We start from the raw sequence: 17,361 nt of genomic DNA, 5'->3' as shown, positions 1-17,361 counted from the left end.
GATAAGGGTGGTGGTGAGGCCTGGCAGAACACCCTCTGTCCAACACGGCTGAGCTCCCTTCTCCAGGCCCCTGCCTGCTTCCACCAGCCCCAGCTGTAATAGTCTCACCAGACCCTTCAAACCAACACATCTGGGGGAGGGGGGTGAACAGTGCATCTTGCTTTGGAAAGTTTAAGGCACATAAGCTCTGGGGATCTAGGAGGCCCCATGTGTGCATTGGGAGGTGTGGGGGGTGGGGGTGGGGTGGGTAGTGCAGAGGCCAGGCCCAAGGAGAGGCAGGGGCAGGGGGCAAGAGCCTGGTTTCTGACCCTCAGTCCCATTGTCTGGTTAACTGTCAGCTTGTTTCCAAGTTAAAAATGCTTCTTCCTGGTCTGGTGCGGTGGCTCACGCCTGTAATCCCAGCACTTTGGGGGGCCGAGGCGGGCAGATCTCCTGAAGTCAGGAGTTCAAGACCAGCCTGGCCAACATGGTGAAACCCCATCCCTAAAAATACAAAAATAAGCCAGGCGTGATGGCACGCACCTGTAGCCCCAGCTACTCAAGAGGCTGAGGCAGGAGAATTGCTTGAACTTGGGAGGTGGAGGTTGCAGTGAGCTGAGATCAGGCCATTGCACTTCAGCCTGGGCAACAGAAGGAGATTCCATCTTAAAAAAAAAAAAAAGAAAAAAATGCTTATTCCTTAAGGGGCCAGGTCCCAGACCAGGCCCGCTACACAGACTGAACACCAAGCCTACTACACAGATACGAAAACCAAGGCCTATGGATGCTAGGGGGTGCTGAGGGCAGGTCTATCTTCCCTTCCTCCCAGGGTAGTCTGCCCTTCCCAGGAAAGCGGAGACCAGTCTATCCGTCCTTCCACTCACCCATCTTCGGGCCACTCTCAACCCCCAACCCCTCTAAATGCCCCCTGGAGCCTGTCCCCAGCGACCACCTTCTAGGGAATGTGATGAAAGGTCTATTTATTATACTTCAGCTCGGACAGTTGTTTCAGATGTTTCCAATTCGTCGGACTGCTCAGACATCTGTTCCTGGTTGAAGGCAGAGAAGAGAAAGAAAAAAGGAAAAAACTCGATGCGTTTCCCACACCCTCACTCAGATGCACACAGACTCACACATCCCCTCGCTCTCTCTCCGTCCCCCAGACCCTCGCAGCACGCTCTCTTGTCCTCACCCACACTCACAGCCTCACTCACTTTCACTGCAACCACATGCTGTGCTCCACACAGCTCCCAGGTGTGTGCCGAGACTCTGATATGCCCACTCTCCACCCTCGCTTCCCCCACACAGCCTGGTGTGCACACTCACGCCTACACCTGTCCCCTCTCAGGGCCTCACACCCCCATTACTAGGTCATGGTGAGGGTTCCTACAGTGGGGGACCTGGACCATGTCTTGCATTCCAGTTGAGACACTATAAAGTGGGCTGTCACCTTCCCTACCTCCGGGGGCTATTGTGCTGGTTAAAATCTTGTGTGTTAGGCGCCTGGCCTGGCAGCGAGCTGGCACTCTGAGAATGTCTGTCATAGCTCCTGGTGGCATTTCCCCCTTCCCCTATGTACAGACACACACCCACATATGTATTTGCACCTACAGCGGGGATTGAAAGATTCCAGGGTCCCAGGGAACCTTGAGGTTCTGTGATTCTTGACCCTCACACACAGATGTACAAGCTGCACATGCATGGGTGCTCAGCAACCTGGTCTAACACATGCATGCGGGCAATCAAATGCACATGTACACTCCTTAATGCACACACTCACCTGCACACTTGCAGACATGTACACTCACTTGCATGCTCATCTCAGCTCATTCACAGATGCACACTCAGCTCCACACATGGAATGCCCAGCCGAGGGACTGGGGATTGGAGGGGTGGAGGGAGGCCTGAGTTCATGGGGACCAGGCTGGACTTGCTGAGGTGGGGCTGGGGGAGGAAGTCAACCATTCCCTGGCTCCTAGGCAGACCAAGTGCATTATTGCAGTGCGGACCAGCCCCACCCGACTCTGTGGGCCTGGGCTGGAGAGCTGCCGATGGTAAACCCCTTTCCTAATGCACTGCCATGTGCACTCTAGTCACCCCACTTCTGGAGGAATTGTGGAGCAGCAGGTGGAAGGGGAGGCTCTGCGGGGGTGGCAATCAGTGGGGTGAATGGTCAGGGTGATGACTCCTCCATCTAGAGTTCATTGATTGACACCTCCTGTCTATGACCCCAATCCCCAGATCTGGGCCATGAGCCTCGAAACAAGAGCACCTCTCTCACTGCTCTCCCACCTCCTCCAGTTCCACCAGCCACGGGTGGCTTTGGTCAGACCAGCCCAGGACCTCTCCAGCCTGGGGCCTTCCAGGCAGGCTCAGCTGACCTCTCCACCAGGCCCCCTGGCCCTCCAGTATGGGCATCGTAGCGGACTGCTGTGAGGGACTGCTGTGAGGCTGAGGCACTGCTGTGAGGCTGAGGCACACTCAGAAACAGAAGGCAGGAGAAGGGGTCTATGGGATCCACCATGCGTCCTCCCACTTCCCCCAAGCTGCCCCTCTAGCTGTCTGGGAGTCACAGTCCCTGCTCCCTCAACCCAGACCCCCAAAGCAGGTGGAGGAAGTATTGTCCTTGTGTTAGATTCCAATAGGCCCAGAGCAACTGGGAAACCCCCTTCCCCACCAGAGCCAGCTCAGCTTTTGTGTGTTGGGGGCCTGAATCCGAGACCCACTTGTGGAGGCTCCCCTCTTCCCCAGCCCCCTCCCTCCCACTGCTGGTGCCTTGGGGCCTTGGGCCAACTGGGGCCTCCTCCTCCTTCTCTCCTCTGTCTTAGAGTCATTGCTGGCCTTAGAGTTGGCCAGAACAGACTTGGGCTCAGCTCCTCTCAGCTGCTGACCTGTTCTGTGATTTGCTGCAAAGCATGTAGCCCCTCCCAGCTTGGATGTGCTCCCTGCAAAGCGGGCAGGGTATAGGCTTTATGGAGAAGACCCGTTTACATCATGGTCTCCAAAGGGCCTGGCGGTAGGTGCTCAGTGCAGGCTGGTTGACTCGATCCTGGAGCCAGGTAACCTGTCTCCAATCCAGGACAGACTGCACCTCAGGAATTCCCTTCTCTGGCAAACACTCCTCTTTAGGCCTTCACCTCAGTGGGAGGAAGCCTTGCCTGCACAAGGAGGGGCAGAATCCCAGACACCACCCTCTTGCTTTACCAGCCTCCTTCAGTTTTCCTATCAAATCCCCAAGGCCAAGGGCAGCACTGCTACTACTGCGTTTTACCTGTTGCTCATCTACAGTGTTTGCAGCTTTTTGCCCACCCTCTTCCTACTCTTGAAGGAGGAGCCAGAGGCTTCTGTGAGGTACTGGGGCTGGAGTCGAGAACTGCAGATGGAAGCGGGAGAGAAGAAAGAGGCTCCCACCTGGCTTCTCACCCACGACCTACTGCTGGGTGGGAGGAGAAGGTGAGAAATAACCATTTATTGAGCATCTACTGTGTGCCAGACACTGCATCAGGGCCACAAGTTAGCATGCATGTACCAGAAGGTAAACTCCATGAGGGCGGAGATTATTCTGTTTTGTTCACTGCTGTAACCTTAGTGCCTAGCACATGGTAAGAGCTCAATAAATATATGCGGAATAAATGAATTTCTACCTGTTATTCTCATCATAACTCTATGAGGCAGGTATAATTATTATCACCATGTTACATGATTTTCAGCTGAGACTCAGAGAGGTTAAGTGACTTGCTCAATGTCACACAGCCAGGTAAGTGGCAGAGCTGGGCCTGTCTGGCTGTAAAGCCCTTGCTCTGACCACTGCACTCTTGAGCAGGCCCAGATGACCACAGCTACTCCGTGTGTGTGTGTGTGTGTGTGTGTGTGTGTGTGTGTGTGCAGCTGTCCTGGCATGGGAGTATCACATCTTAGAGGCTCAGTGACTACACAAGTCCCATGGTTACAAGTAGAAACTGTCATGTGTTCTTGTGCCTCAGTGTGCTCAATAAATATTAACTGAATAGCCACAGCTTCTCAGAGATGATAAAAAAGGAAGAAATATTAATTGAATAAATGAAATAAGCGGATGAGCGAATAAGTGCTTCCATGCTAGCTCACAGATACCCTGGTTGTGTTTAGAGGGGCTGGGTGATTAGAAGATAGGGTCTTCAGCTGGGCATTGGACACCTGGGTTCTAATCCCTAAGTTGTAGTGTGACTTTGGCTGAGTCACCACCCCTCACTGGGCCTGGGTCCCTCCTCATTGAGGTAGATGAGAGCTGATGGTCAGGTGTTTCTCAAGGCCCTTCCAGCTCGGCCACCTCAAGTGCTCAGGGTGTGAGGCTTCCCAGTTATGGGCTCCACAGTCAGGGTGAAGTTGGTTCTTGTTTTCTGGGAAGGGGAGGGGATGTGGTGGGGAATCTGAGTATGCTTATTCTACATATTCTATAGAATGAAGTCTGACTCTGGCTCAGCATCCAAGGCCTTCCACAATGCAGTCTCAGTCCAACTGCTTCCCCTCATCCTATGCAACACATAGACACACTTATTCTCTCTCTCTCTCTCTCTTAGACACTGGGCAGAACAACAGCTTAGCAAGGAAAAGGGGCTTGAGACTTGTACCAGCTGCCTGTCACTGACCTGGGCTTTACCCCCAGCAACTCCACATGATGGAGGAAGCACAGGATATAAATCCAGGCTTGACCACTACAATCAGTGTGCTCACGGGCAAGTCGCTTAGCCTCTATGTGCCTCTGTTTTCTCATCAGCAAAATGGAAATGGTGATACTTTCTATCTTGGTGAGACTTTGCTCAAAAGAAGTGACAGTGTCCATCAAGTGCACTTTTGTTATGTGAGCCTGGAGAAAACTTTATTAGAAATCTACTTTGTGGCTGGGTGAGGTGGCTCATGTCCATAGTCCCAGAACTTTGAGAGGCCGAGGCAGGAGGATTGCTTGAGTCCAGGAGTTCGAGACCAGCCTGGGCAACATGGCAAAACCCTGTCTCTACAAAAAATATAAAATTAGCCGGATATGGTGGACTATGAGCCTGTAGTCCCAGCTACTTGAGAGGCTGAGGTGGGAGGATGGCTTGAGCCTGGAAGGTTGAGGCTGCAGTGAGCTGTGATCACACCACTGCATTCCAGCCTGGCGACAGAGCGAGACCCTGTCTCAAAAATCAAAACAAAACAGCTGGGCATGGTGGCTCACACCTGTAATCCCAGCACTTTGGGAGGCCAAGGCGGGTGGATCACCTGAGGTCGGGAGTTCGAGATCAGCCTAACCAACATGGTGAAACCCCGTCTCTACTAAAAATACAAAATTAGCTGGGCATGGTGGCACATGCCTGTAATCCCAGCTACTCGGGAGGCTGAGGCAGGAGAATTGCTTGAACCCGTGAGGCAGAGGTTGCAATGAGCCAAGATTGTGCCATTGCACTCCAGCCTGGGCAACAAGAGCAAAACTCCATCTCAAAAAAATAAAAGACATGACTTTGTGGTCAGACCTCTGACAAAGATCTGAAAGAGAAGAAGCCCAAGATACAGTTGCTACCTACTTTTTTTTTCTTTCTTGAGACAGGGTCTTGCTTTGTCACCCAGGCTATGGATCTTCCACCTCCTAGGTTCAAGTGATCCTTCCACCTCAGCCTCCCAAGTAACTGGAACAACAGGTACACACCACCACACCTGGATAATTTATTTTATTTCTTATACAGACAGAGTCTCGCCATGTTGGTTTTGCACTCCTGGCCTCAAGCAACTTCCTGCCTTGGCCTCCCAAAGCGCTGGGATTCCATGCGTGTGCCACCGGGTCCAGCCTGCTGCCTACTTTTTGAGACTCGTGGTTTACCCGGGAGAATGGATGCATACTTAGGAATCCTGTGGGATGGAATAATGTAATCTCAGATAAAAAGCAAACAACAGGTTGGAGGAAATAGTTACAATTAACACGACAAGCAAATAGTTAATATTCTTGCCATATAACAATCTTACACAACTTAAGGGGTAAAAACCCCACAGAGACCCCAGTACATTAATGGGGTCTCGTGATATAGACAATGAGGGCAAATAATATGGATAGCAAAATCTACAAGCCAGAAATTATACATATGTAGTGGTGGGTATTTGTAAAACATATTTCATCTCATCGATAATCAAAGAAGTGCAAATTATTATTTTATTATTATTATTATTATTATTATTATTATTATTATTATTATTGAGACAGAGTCTCACTCTGTTGCCCAGGCTGGAGTGCAGTGGCACAATCTCGGCTCACTGCAACCTCCGCCTCTCAGGTTCAAGTGATTCTCCTGCCTCAGCCTCCTGAGTAGCTGGGATTTCAGGCACCCACCACCATGCCCGGCTAACTTTTGTATTTTTAGTAGAGACAGAGTTTTGCCATGTTGGCCAGGGTGGTCTTGAACTTCGAGCCTCAAGAGATCCCCCTACCTTGGCCTCCCAAAGTGCTGGGATTACAGGCGTGAGCCACCACACCCGGCAGAAGTGCAAATTAAAGTAACAATAACATTTCTGTCTTTTTTCTTTATCGAGAATCCCCAGTGTAGGTACTATCATAGTGAAAAAGGCAAGCTCGTATACTGCCACTGTTTTCAGTCATTAGTTTGATATTTATCAGGCACATACTACAGGCTGGACACTGTTTCGGAGGCTGCAGAGCATGTTTGCAGTGTGGACAAAAAGCCTTGAAAAGTACTCAGAGCAGCACTGCAAAAAGAAGTCGAGTTTACGGCACTAACCATGGACAAGGCTGAGCCGGGTGGTATTAACAGTTCACACAGGCCGGGTGCAGTGGCTCACGCCTGTAATGCCAGCACTTTGGGAGGCCGAGGTGGGCAGATCACGATGACAGGAGATCGAGACCATCCTGGCTAACACGGTGAAACGCTGTCTCTACTAAAAATACAAAAAATTAGCCGGGCGTGGTGGCAGGTGCCTGTAATCCCAGCTACTCGGGAGGCTGAGGCAGGACAATGGCGTGAACTCGGGAGGCGGAGCTTGCAGTGAGCCGAGATCGCGCCACTGCACTCCAGCCTGGGAGATGGAGCGAGACTCTATTTCAAAAAAAAACAAAAAACAAAAAACAGTTCACACAGATGTGGATCCAAACCCAGAGGCTGCCACTGGAGTCTGGGCCACCTTAGGGGAGCTGCTTAATTGGCCAAGCCCTCTATCTCCTTGTCTGTACAATGGGGATAATAATGTACCCCAATGCTCACAGCGTTGTCGTGAGCACAAAGTAAAACAACAAGTATAAAAGGCTAGGACTAAAGTGAATTCTTGGCCAGGTGTGGTGACTCATGCCTGTAATGCCAGCACTCTGGGAGGCTGAGGCGGGTGGATCACCTGAAGTCAGGAGTTTGAGACCAGCTGGGCCAACATGGTAAAACCCCGTCTCTATTAAAAATACAAAAATTAGCCAGGTATGGTGGTGGGTGCCTGAAATTCCAGCTATTTGGGAGGCTGAGGCAGGAGAATGGCTTGAACCCGGGAGGTGGAGGTTGCAGTGAGCGACATCGTGCCACTGCACTCCAGCCTGGGTGACAGAGCAAGACTCTGTCTAAAATAACAATAATAATAAATAAATAAAAAGTGAACCCCTGAATAATAATGTTTATTTTGCATTATTTATCACTGAGAGAAAAACCCACCCACATCTCTAATAATGGGGGAGAGGATAAATGTGTGTCGCTACTCACCATTTGCTGTGTCACCTAGAGAAGCCATTCAAAAGGGTTCTTGAAAGGATCTTTAATGCCATAGCTGAATACTTGCAAAGTAACACTTGATCCAGACGTATGTGATGTGTGATATAATCGTTGCCAAGCAGCATATCTGGAAGGAATGAATTCTACCACAATGGAGGAATTAGGGTGATTCTAACCCTCCCCTGTGTTTTCTAAAAAATCACAAATTGCTCTTATAACTAGAGACTAGTTATATATAATTATATATTATATATAATATACACTTACATATTACATATAATATATACTTACATATAATTAATGTTATATAATACAATTAACCATTAATTTTAATAATGTATTGCCAGAAGGGCCTCGTCAGGCAGGGAGTAAGAAAGGTATTACCATGTTTGACACAGACTTGTCAAGAAACTTCAGGTTTATTAAAACCAGGGAGCATATCTTACTTATCTTTGTTTTCTTGGCACATTGCTGGAAACTAATCAATCACTGAGAAAATGTGGATCTGCAGGCTTTACATGCATTTTATCAGTTCTTATGACAACCCTGTAAGGCAGAAACTATAATTATCACCACTGGACATACAGGGACACTTAACCTATCAAGTTCGAGAGATTTGGCCAGGTGTAGTGGCTCACGCCTATAATCTCAGCACTTTGGGAGCCCGAGGCAGGTGGATCACCTGAGATCAGGAGTTTGAGAACAGCCTGGCCAATGTGGGGAAACCCTATGTCTACTAAAAATACACACAAAAAAATTAGCCAGGCGTGGTGGTGCATGCCTGTCCCAGCTACTTGGGAAGCTGAGGCAGGAGAATCGCTTGAACCTGGGAGGTGGAGGTTGCAGTGAGCCAAGATCACGACACTATACTCCAGCCTGGGTGACAGAGCAAGACTCCGTCTCAAAAAAAAAAAAAAAAAAAGAGAGAGAGAGAGAAACAGATTTGCCAAGATCACAAAATTAAAAGGAGCAGGGCACGGTGCCTCAGACCTGTAATCACAGCACTTTGGGAGGCTGAGGAGGGAGGACTGCTTGAGCCCAGGAGTTCAAGACCAGCCTAGGCAATATGAGATCCTGTCTTCACACACACACACACAAAATACAAAAATTAGCCAGATGTGGTGGCATGTGTCGGTAGACCCAGCTCCTTGGGAGGCCAAGGCGGGAGGATCATTTGAGCCCGGAAAATCAAGGCTGCAGTGAGCCATGGTGGTGACACTAACCTCCAGCCTGTGTGACGGAGTGAGACCCAGTCTCAAAACAAACAAAAACAAACCAAAAACCAAAACAAGATTAAGAGGCAGAGCGGGGATCAAACCCAGGTTTGTCTGACTCCAAAGTACCTCAGCTGTCTTGCTCTGCTGTGCCATGTGTTAACATGGAGACCAACAGTGGAGGCAGATGACAGGGAGGCAAAGACCTCTTCCCAAGGCCCTGAGATGGCCGATCACAGATCCAAGGGCTCAGCATGAGGCTGCCTGGAAGAGTCAGGTTGTGTCAGAGGCAGGAACTTGACAGAAAGGAGCCAGTTTCTGAAGGAAGAGTAATCCAGCTTTTCCTAGGTTGAATTTGAAGAAATAGTAGGATAAACGTGTTGGAAATATGCCGCAGGCAACTTAAAGTATTGACTGGTGTGAAGATAAGAACCAAGCTGGAGATGTATTTATTATGGAGCCAGAGGACTCTGAGCTAGTAGATGAAAAGGTGGTTGGAAAAGATGGAACTCACGTCAGTTGAGAGCTGGAGTGTGTGTTCAGTGCTTTGCACTACCACGGACATGTTTTGGGGTGCCTGCCCAGTCATAGTTCTTTCTTTGGGATTGTGTCCCATCCACAGTCCCTTCTGAGGGCATGTGGCTGGGCAGCCACACACGGCTCATGACCTCGTCATCTTGTCCACAGGTGATGGCACCAGGGGTTGACAAGGTGTTCAATCCAGGGCAACTGGACTCTCTCTCCCTGGAATGGGGTTTAGGACTCTGAGAAACAGTAGCTACGAAGCAGCTACGCCATAAGCTCACAGAGAGTTGAGGCCATTTGGAGCCATGAGTGACCATGTGGAAGCAGAAGCAGCTAGTCTTCAGAGAGAAAGCCCAGCTGCACAGAGAGAAGTGGTGATAAGGAACTGTGCTGCCCCTGGAAGGAGTGATGCAGGTGAGAGGCAGCCTGTCTCTCCCACATTTTACCCTCTCCTTGGATGTTTACCAGATTGTCTGTTATAACCTTCCAATAAACCTCCTTTTCCTTGAGCTGGCTTGAGAGGGTTTCTGTTCCTTGCAACCACATGGCCTTGAACTAAGACATGAACAACACATCTTAAGCATAAAGTTCCTGGTGCAGTGCTTAACTCATCATTGGCAACTAAAAACTGTAGCTATTATTATTTCATTTGCTCCTCAAAGAAACCTGATGAGAAAAAAAGGTATTATTATACCCATTGGGAAAATGAGAAAACTGGGGCTTGTTGACATAGCAGCAAATACTGGCTAAATTCCAGTGCTGGGGATTCAGGAGAGACAAGGTCCCAGCTTTGAAGATGCCTGCATTCCTATGCAGCAGGCAGACAACAAACAAATTTAGGTTGAGCATCACAAATTCAAAAATCTGCAATCCAAAATGCTGCAAAATCCAAAACTTTTTGAGCACAGACATGGTGTTCAAAGGAAATGCTCAATGGAGCATTTTGGATTTTCAATTTCTGGATTTGGAATTCTGAACCAGCAAAATGCAAATATTCCAAAATCCATACAAATCTGAAATCAGGAACACTTCTAGTCCCAAGCATTCTGGATAAGAGATGCTCAATCTACAGTGAACAAGAAAACGTCAAGCAGAGATAAGGCACTATGAAGGAAACAATATGAAATGATCTACTAGAGCTACTTTAGACAACAGAAAGCCTCTCTGAGGAGTGACCCTTGAGCTGAGACCTAAAGGACAAAAAGGAGCAGGCAGGCCACATGCAGATCTGGGAGGGGGGCACTCAGAGCAGAAGGAAAAGCAAAAGAAAGAGTTTTGGGCAGGATTAGGTTTGATGCACTCAAGGAACAGCAAGGAGGCCAAGGTGAGCAGAATGGGGTAGCAGGAATAGGTTCCTGAGGGTTTTATAAGTCAGGTGAGATGTCTGGCTTTAATTCTAAGAGCAATGCGGAACCACTGGAAGGATTTAAGAGTGCTGTGGTAGACAGCCCTCCAAAGATGTCTCCTTTCTAATCCCCCAAACCTGTGAATATGTTACCTCACATGGCAAAGAGATTTGCAGATGTTATTAAGGCTTGAGATGGGGAGAATATCTTGGCTTATCTGGGTGGGCACTGTGGAAGCACAAGGGTCCTTATAAAAGGGGCACAAGAGGGTCAGAGTCAGAGGAGATGTGATGACAGAAGTGGAGGTCAAAGGAATGCAAGTAAGGGGCTGTGAACCAGGGAATGCAAGTGGCTTCTAGAAGGTGGAAAAGGCAAGGAAACATCTTACCAAGGTATCTGGAAGGAATGCAGCCCTAACAACCTATTTTAGACTTCTGGCCTCTAGAACTGTAAAATAATAAGCCTGTGTTATTTGGAGCAACTATGTTATAATTTGTTATAGCAGCAATAGGAAACCAGTACAAGTGCTATGATCTGATCTATATTTCTAAAAATTCACCCTGGCTGCTGTGGATTGTGGGGGCAAAACGGAAGCTGGAAGATAAGCAACGAGTCTGAGGCATCACCCAGGCAGGCGACAGTGGTGCTTGGACCAGGTGATGGAGTCTGACACATGGATCCATTCTGGAGGTGGAAGCGAAACAATTTGCTGATGATCAGGCATGGCGAATAAAGGAAAGATAGCAATCTAGAAGAATTACTTCTTGGGGTTTTAATCTGATTATCTGGATGGCTGGAGATGCTGTTTATGGAGATGGGAAAGACTGAGGGAGGAGCAGGTTTACAGATGTCGGGGGAGTTGGATAAGATCATCAAGCCAGCAAGTGGCAGACCTGGAACTAGAACTTGGGTGTCCTGACTCTCAGACCCAACATATATGGATCTGTGAGAAAGATTTCACTAAGGAAAGAGTTTGGGATTTTTTAAGTTAAGATTTATTTAGCACCTCCTCTATTAGTCAGGGTTCTCCAGAGAAACAGAGCCAATGAGAAAGAGAGATTAAATTTTAAGGAATTGGCTCGCATGAGTGTAAAGGCTGGCAAGTCCAAAATCTGCAGGGATAGGTTGGCAGGTTGGAGACCCAGGGAAGAGCTGGTGTTGCAGTTCAAGTCCAAAGGCAGAATTTCTTCTTGCTCAGGGGAGTTCAGTCTTTTCCTCTTATGGCCTTCATCTGATTGGTTAAGGCCCACCCACATTATGCAAGGTAATCTGCTTTACTCAAAGTCTACTGATTTCAGTATTAATCCCATTGAAAAAATACTTGCAGAGAAACAAAAAGCATAATGTTTTTTTCCCATGGCCTAGCCAACTTGACACTTACTTTTCTTACTATTGGGCATTGTGCTTTTTAGCTATATTAGTTCATGGTTGACAAGAAAGGCAGATGGCGGGGAATCACCCTGGGTTTGTCCACAGTTAAGGGCTAGGAGGGGAGGTGGACAGATATACAAGGAAACAGGAACCAGGACAGTGGAGAGAAGCATTCCAAGAAGGTGGAGGTGTCAAGAATTGCAGAGGGATAGAGAAGGAGGAAGACAAAGGAACCACAGAATGCGGTGATAAGGAGGTTTTTGGTGACCTTAGCCATGGATCATGCAGGGAGAGTGAGAACTGTGGCAAGGAAGGGGGCTCTTTCACATGGAAGGATTGGGAACTGGAGTCTAGTACAGAAGCATGCAAATAAATGGCTACAAAACGCAAAATAGGGCCAGGCATGGTGGCTCATGCCTGTAATCCCAGTGCCAAGGTGGGATTGGTCTTGAGGCCAGGAGTTCAAGACCAGCCTGAGCAACACAGTAAGACACCATCTTTACAAAAAAAAAAAAATGTAAAATTTTTTTTTTTACATTTTGGGCATTGTGACACGTACCTGTAGTCTCAGCTACTTGGGAGGCTGAGGTGGAAGAATGAGCTATGATTGTGCCGCTGCACTCCAGCCTCAGTAACAGAGTGAGACCCTGTCTCTAAAACCAAAATAAAACCAACAAACAAATACAACATACACTACAACAGAAAGGAAGCTGTGATATGAAATAATGGGGGAGCTACTCAGATGGAGAGGTCAGGGAAGGCCCTTCTAACAGAATAATTTTTAAGTGGAGATTCGAAGGAAGAAAAGAGGCTAGGCACAGTGGCTCACACCTATAATCCCAGCACTTTGGGAGGCCAAGATGAGAGGATTGCTTGAGCCCAGGAGTTCGAGATCAGCCTGGGCAATATAGTGAGACCCCCGCCTCTATTAAAAAAAATTTTTAATCCAAAAAAAAAAAAGGAAGAAAAGAAATGCCCCATATGAAGAGCTATGGGAAGGGCAAGATGGCAGAGAACCTGTGCAAAGGCCCTGAGATGAGAAAGAGTCTGGAATTACCAAAGAACTGAAAGAAGCCTGGTAGGGCTGAAGCCAAGAGAGAGGCGATGTATGAAGCTGGAGGGATGTAGCCTTATAAGGGATGGTGTTTGAATTTGGTTCTAAGTGTGATGGAAAATCACTGGAAGGTTTAAGCAGGGGAGTAAATGATGGGACCTGCTTTATAATTGTTAATTTACTCTGGCTACTGTGTGAAGCCTGTGTTGGTGGGGGACAGAGTGGGAGTGGGGCAACCTGGAAGGGACACTAACAATTGTCCAGGTAAGCGGCAAAATTGGCTTAAAGCAGGAAAGTTTCTGGGGGCAGATCCAACAGAATTTGCCAGTAGAGTGGATGTGGGAGGTGAGAGAGAAGAATGCAAAACAACTCCCAGTTTCTTGCTTTATCAGTTTCATCGCTGTTTCCAAGGAGAAAAACTGGGGAGAAAGAGGTTCTGTGCAGGGCCCAAGAGTTTAGTTTTAGGAGCAGGGAGTTGAAGGGGCCACTCTTGGCCATCTTAGCTGCTTGATGATGGGGGCTGGGACGGAGTGAGAGGCTGGGAGAGGCTGGAAGGGGAAGTCTGCACGGTCATCCGTGGGCTTGCTGAAGCCCCAGTGGAGGCTGGCTGTGGATTTGCAGTGGCACTGTCTCAGGTAGCTGGGGGACTGTCCAGAGGAGCTCAGCAGGAACTGGCAGGGGGTTTGTGGGGCAGTTGAGATGTTGAGGCAAGGCCAGTGCAGAAATCGTTATCGGGCAGGTGAAACGCCAAGAATCTGAATTAGAAGGAAGGGCATGAGAGATTGGGAGCAGAAGGTTAGAGTGGGGGGGTCTGAGGATCTTGAAGCCTATGATTTCAGGGATGGAGTAATTTGGGTGAGGTCAAGAGGGGGTGGCCATGTGAATGGGAGGCCAAAGTGGAGTGGACAAGAGTATCGACCTGGTCCAGGAGGTCCCAGAGGTGTTGGGCGTAGCACTGACATAGAGAACGAGGTCCCCAACGTGATGCTTGAGTCTGCCACAGAGAAGAGGACCTCGAGACAGATGCCAGGGTCCTGTGTGAGCAAAGAAAGCACAGCAGGGCATGGGGGAAATAACTCAGGTGAAGAGAGCAGGGAGGTAGAACAGGAGGAACAGTTACAAAAGGGAGGGCAGGGGGGCGGTGTGGAATGAGGCAGATGCCACACCCTCGTGCAGGAGAATGAGTGGTATTGCCAGACTTTGTTGGGCAAAGGGGATGGCGTCCCTGGTGTGTGTTAAAGGAGCCTGAACTCACTCACAACAAGGTAGAGAATCTGAGAAGTGTGTTTCTGCTGGTATGGGGCTTCCAGAGGACACAGCAGACCCCCTGGGAGGAAAGTGGAGAGAAAGGAACAAGGAAGAGCTGGGCAGTGTTCTTGGGAATGATCTACTTTATTATTGCTCACTGGGGCTCCTCACTCCCTTCAGTCTCGCCTCTTCAAATTCAGCCTTCACCAGAGCTGCAAGACACTCCTAAAGCACAACTCTGGTCCTGCCTTTCTGCCTCATCAACACTCAGGGGCTGCCCTTGCCCTCAAGGTAAAGTTCCTGCTCTTTGGCCTGGTACCATAAGGTCCTTTTGGAAGCACCCCATCTGCTGCCCTCTTCCCCGCCTCACCTCTCTCATCCGAAATCCCCACGAAGCAGAACTACTTATAGCACTAAGGGCACCACGATGCAGCAGGCCTCCGGGCCTTTGCACCTGCCATTCCCTCTGCCTGGAATGCCTTTTGATCACATGTGCCTAGAAAATGCCAATAAATCTTTCAAGCATTTCTTCCCTGGAGAAGCCTTCTCAGATTCCCTCAAGGAGTCACAGTCACCCCTTATTTTGTCCCACCACTCTACCTCATTTACCCTTTCACCAGGCTCTTGAGTCGGCCTTCCTCACTAAACCAGGAGTTCCTTAGGAAGACAGTGTGATACTCATTTCTCTATCCTCCATTTCCAGCCCTGTGCCTGGGATACAATAGTGCTTGGTTGATATCTAATAAAGGCACTGACCAAATTATAGCTAATAAGAAGAGCCAGCATGTACTAAGTACTTACTATAATTCCTAACATTGTGCCAAGCTCTTTAAATGCATTATCTTATGTCATCCCTGTAAGAACTGTGGTGGGTTAATACTGTTACTATATGTATTTAACAGATGAGGAAACTGAGGCTTAGGGAGGTGAAGTGACTTGCCCAAGGACATTAAGCTAGTCAGTGGTAGAGATGGGCTTCAAACTCGGCCGATACTAGTGTCCATGCACTTAGCTGTTATGCTATATTGCCTCAATGAAAGAAAGGATGACAAGATCTAGCCAGGGCAGTGGCTTACGCCTGTAATCCTAACATTCTGGGAGGCTGAGGCAGGCAGATCATTTGAGGTCAGGAGTTCGAGACTAGCCTGACCAACATGGTGAAACCCAGTCTCTACTAAAAATACAAAAAAAATTAGCTGGGCGTGGTGGCGTGCCTGTAATCTCAGCTACTTGGGAGGCTGAGGCAGGAGAATCGCTTGAACCTGGGAGGCTGAGGTTGCAGTGAGCCGAGATCGCATCACTGTACTCCAGCCTGGGCAACCGAGCAAGACTTCTTCTAAAAAATAAAAAAATAAAAAAATAGAAAGAATGAATGAATGAATGAAAGATTTCAGAGAACAGCAGGGTTATGAAGACTAGAGTTTTCAGGGGAGCCTATAAATTGACAGTAACAAAGTCAGCTTTTTCTAGAGTAACAGTAATGATCACAGATGCCAGTAGTTTCCAATCCAAAAGCCCTTCTTCCGTGCGGACAGAGTTCTGCTTTTGTCTGTGAACATCCTCCCAGTTCCTTAGGAACTCACTGCAGTGGAAGAGACCATCATTGGCCAATGATGGGTGGTGTACAGGTCTACACAAGGTTTGGAGGCTGACTTTCGAGGTGGTCAGGCTAAACTTCATACAGGCCTTTTGAAGGATGACACAAAAAGGATTAGAGAAAAAGACATTTCTTTTTTTGAGACGGAGTCTTGCTCTGTTGCCCAGGCTAGAGTGCAGTGGCGTGATCTCGGCTCGCTGCAAGCTCTGCCTCCCGGGTTCATGCCATTCTCCTGCCTCAGCCTCCCCGATAGCTGGGACTACAGGCACCCGCCACCACACCCAGCTAATTTTTTGCAATTTTAGTAGAGACGGGGTTTCACCGTGTTAGCCAGGATGGTCTCGATCTCCTGACCTCGTGATCCGACTGCCTCAGCCTCCCAAAGTGCTGGGATTACAGGCGTGAGCCACTGCGCCTGGCCGAGAAAAAGACATTTCTAAGCAGAATGAACAGCATATGCAAATTTAGAGCAACACAGCTTTCCCAGGGAAACAACTCATTTGGCATAACCTGAACTGGGCTGGCCACTTGCAGGCTGTGTGTCTCTGAGCAATTGACTTGGCGTCTCTGAGGATCAGAATTTACATTTATGGGAAAAAAGGAAAAAAGAAAGGAACTACAATAGTTGCGAAATTAGGTAACAGAATATATGTGCAAAACACAGTGCTTGGCATACATTAGGTGCACAAGAAACATTCTTTCTTATTCACCCATTATTGTCACATGGTTCTAATTCGTTATCTTCTGTCACCCAGGTGGCTTTCTTCCCTTTCTCACTCATTCCTGAGCCTAGTAACGAGGCCCCCCAACTTCCACAGACTTTTCCTCAGGCAGGAAACCCGAGCCCACTGCCTGGCCTAGGACAGCTTCTAGGGCTGTGTGGTTTGTGTTATTTCTTCTCTTTTCTCTCTCTCTCCCTCTTTTTTTTCCTAAATGCAACAAAATAAAACCAAACAAAAAGCCCAATGCCTGGCGTGGCTTGTCAGAGAGTTATGCAAGTGTGTAAAAAAATAAAATAAAATAAACATTGAGTTTTCGGCATTTGGGGCTGTTTGATTAGACACAGAGCATAGCCAAGGGCCGGTTAGACGCAGGGAAGGCTCAGGGCAGAGGTGAGAGAGGAGGGACTTGAGTGGGGGTTGGAGGTTGGAGGGGGCCCCTGGACCAACTCGGAAATGACTGTTTGCCTCCTGCAAACTTGGCAATGCTCTGGCTGAATGAACCCAGACACTGGGCATTTCGGACCCAACTGCTCCACTTTCTCTGGCTATCCACCATCCCTGTTCCCTGGCCATTGGGACACTCTAGGGGTCAT

The sequence above is a fragment of the Homo sapiens genome, chromosome 1, assembly GCF_000001405.40.
Source record: "Homo sapiens chromosome 1, GRCh38.p14 Primary Assembly".
In the NCBI taxonomy this organism is placed as follows: Eukaryota; Metazoa; Chordata; class Mammalia; order Primates; family Hominidae; genus Homo; species Homo sapiens.
Note: the sequence above shows the minus strand (reverse complement) of the source record.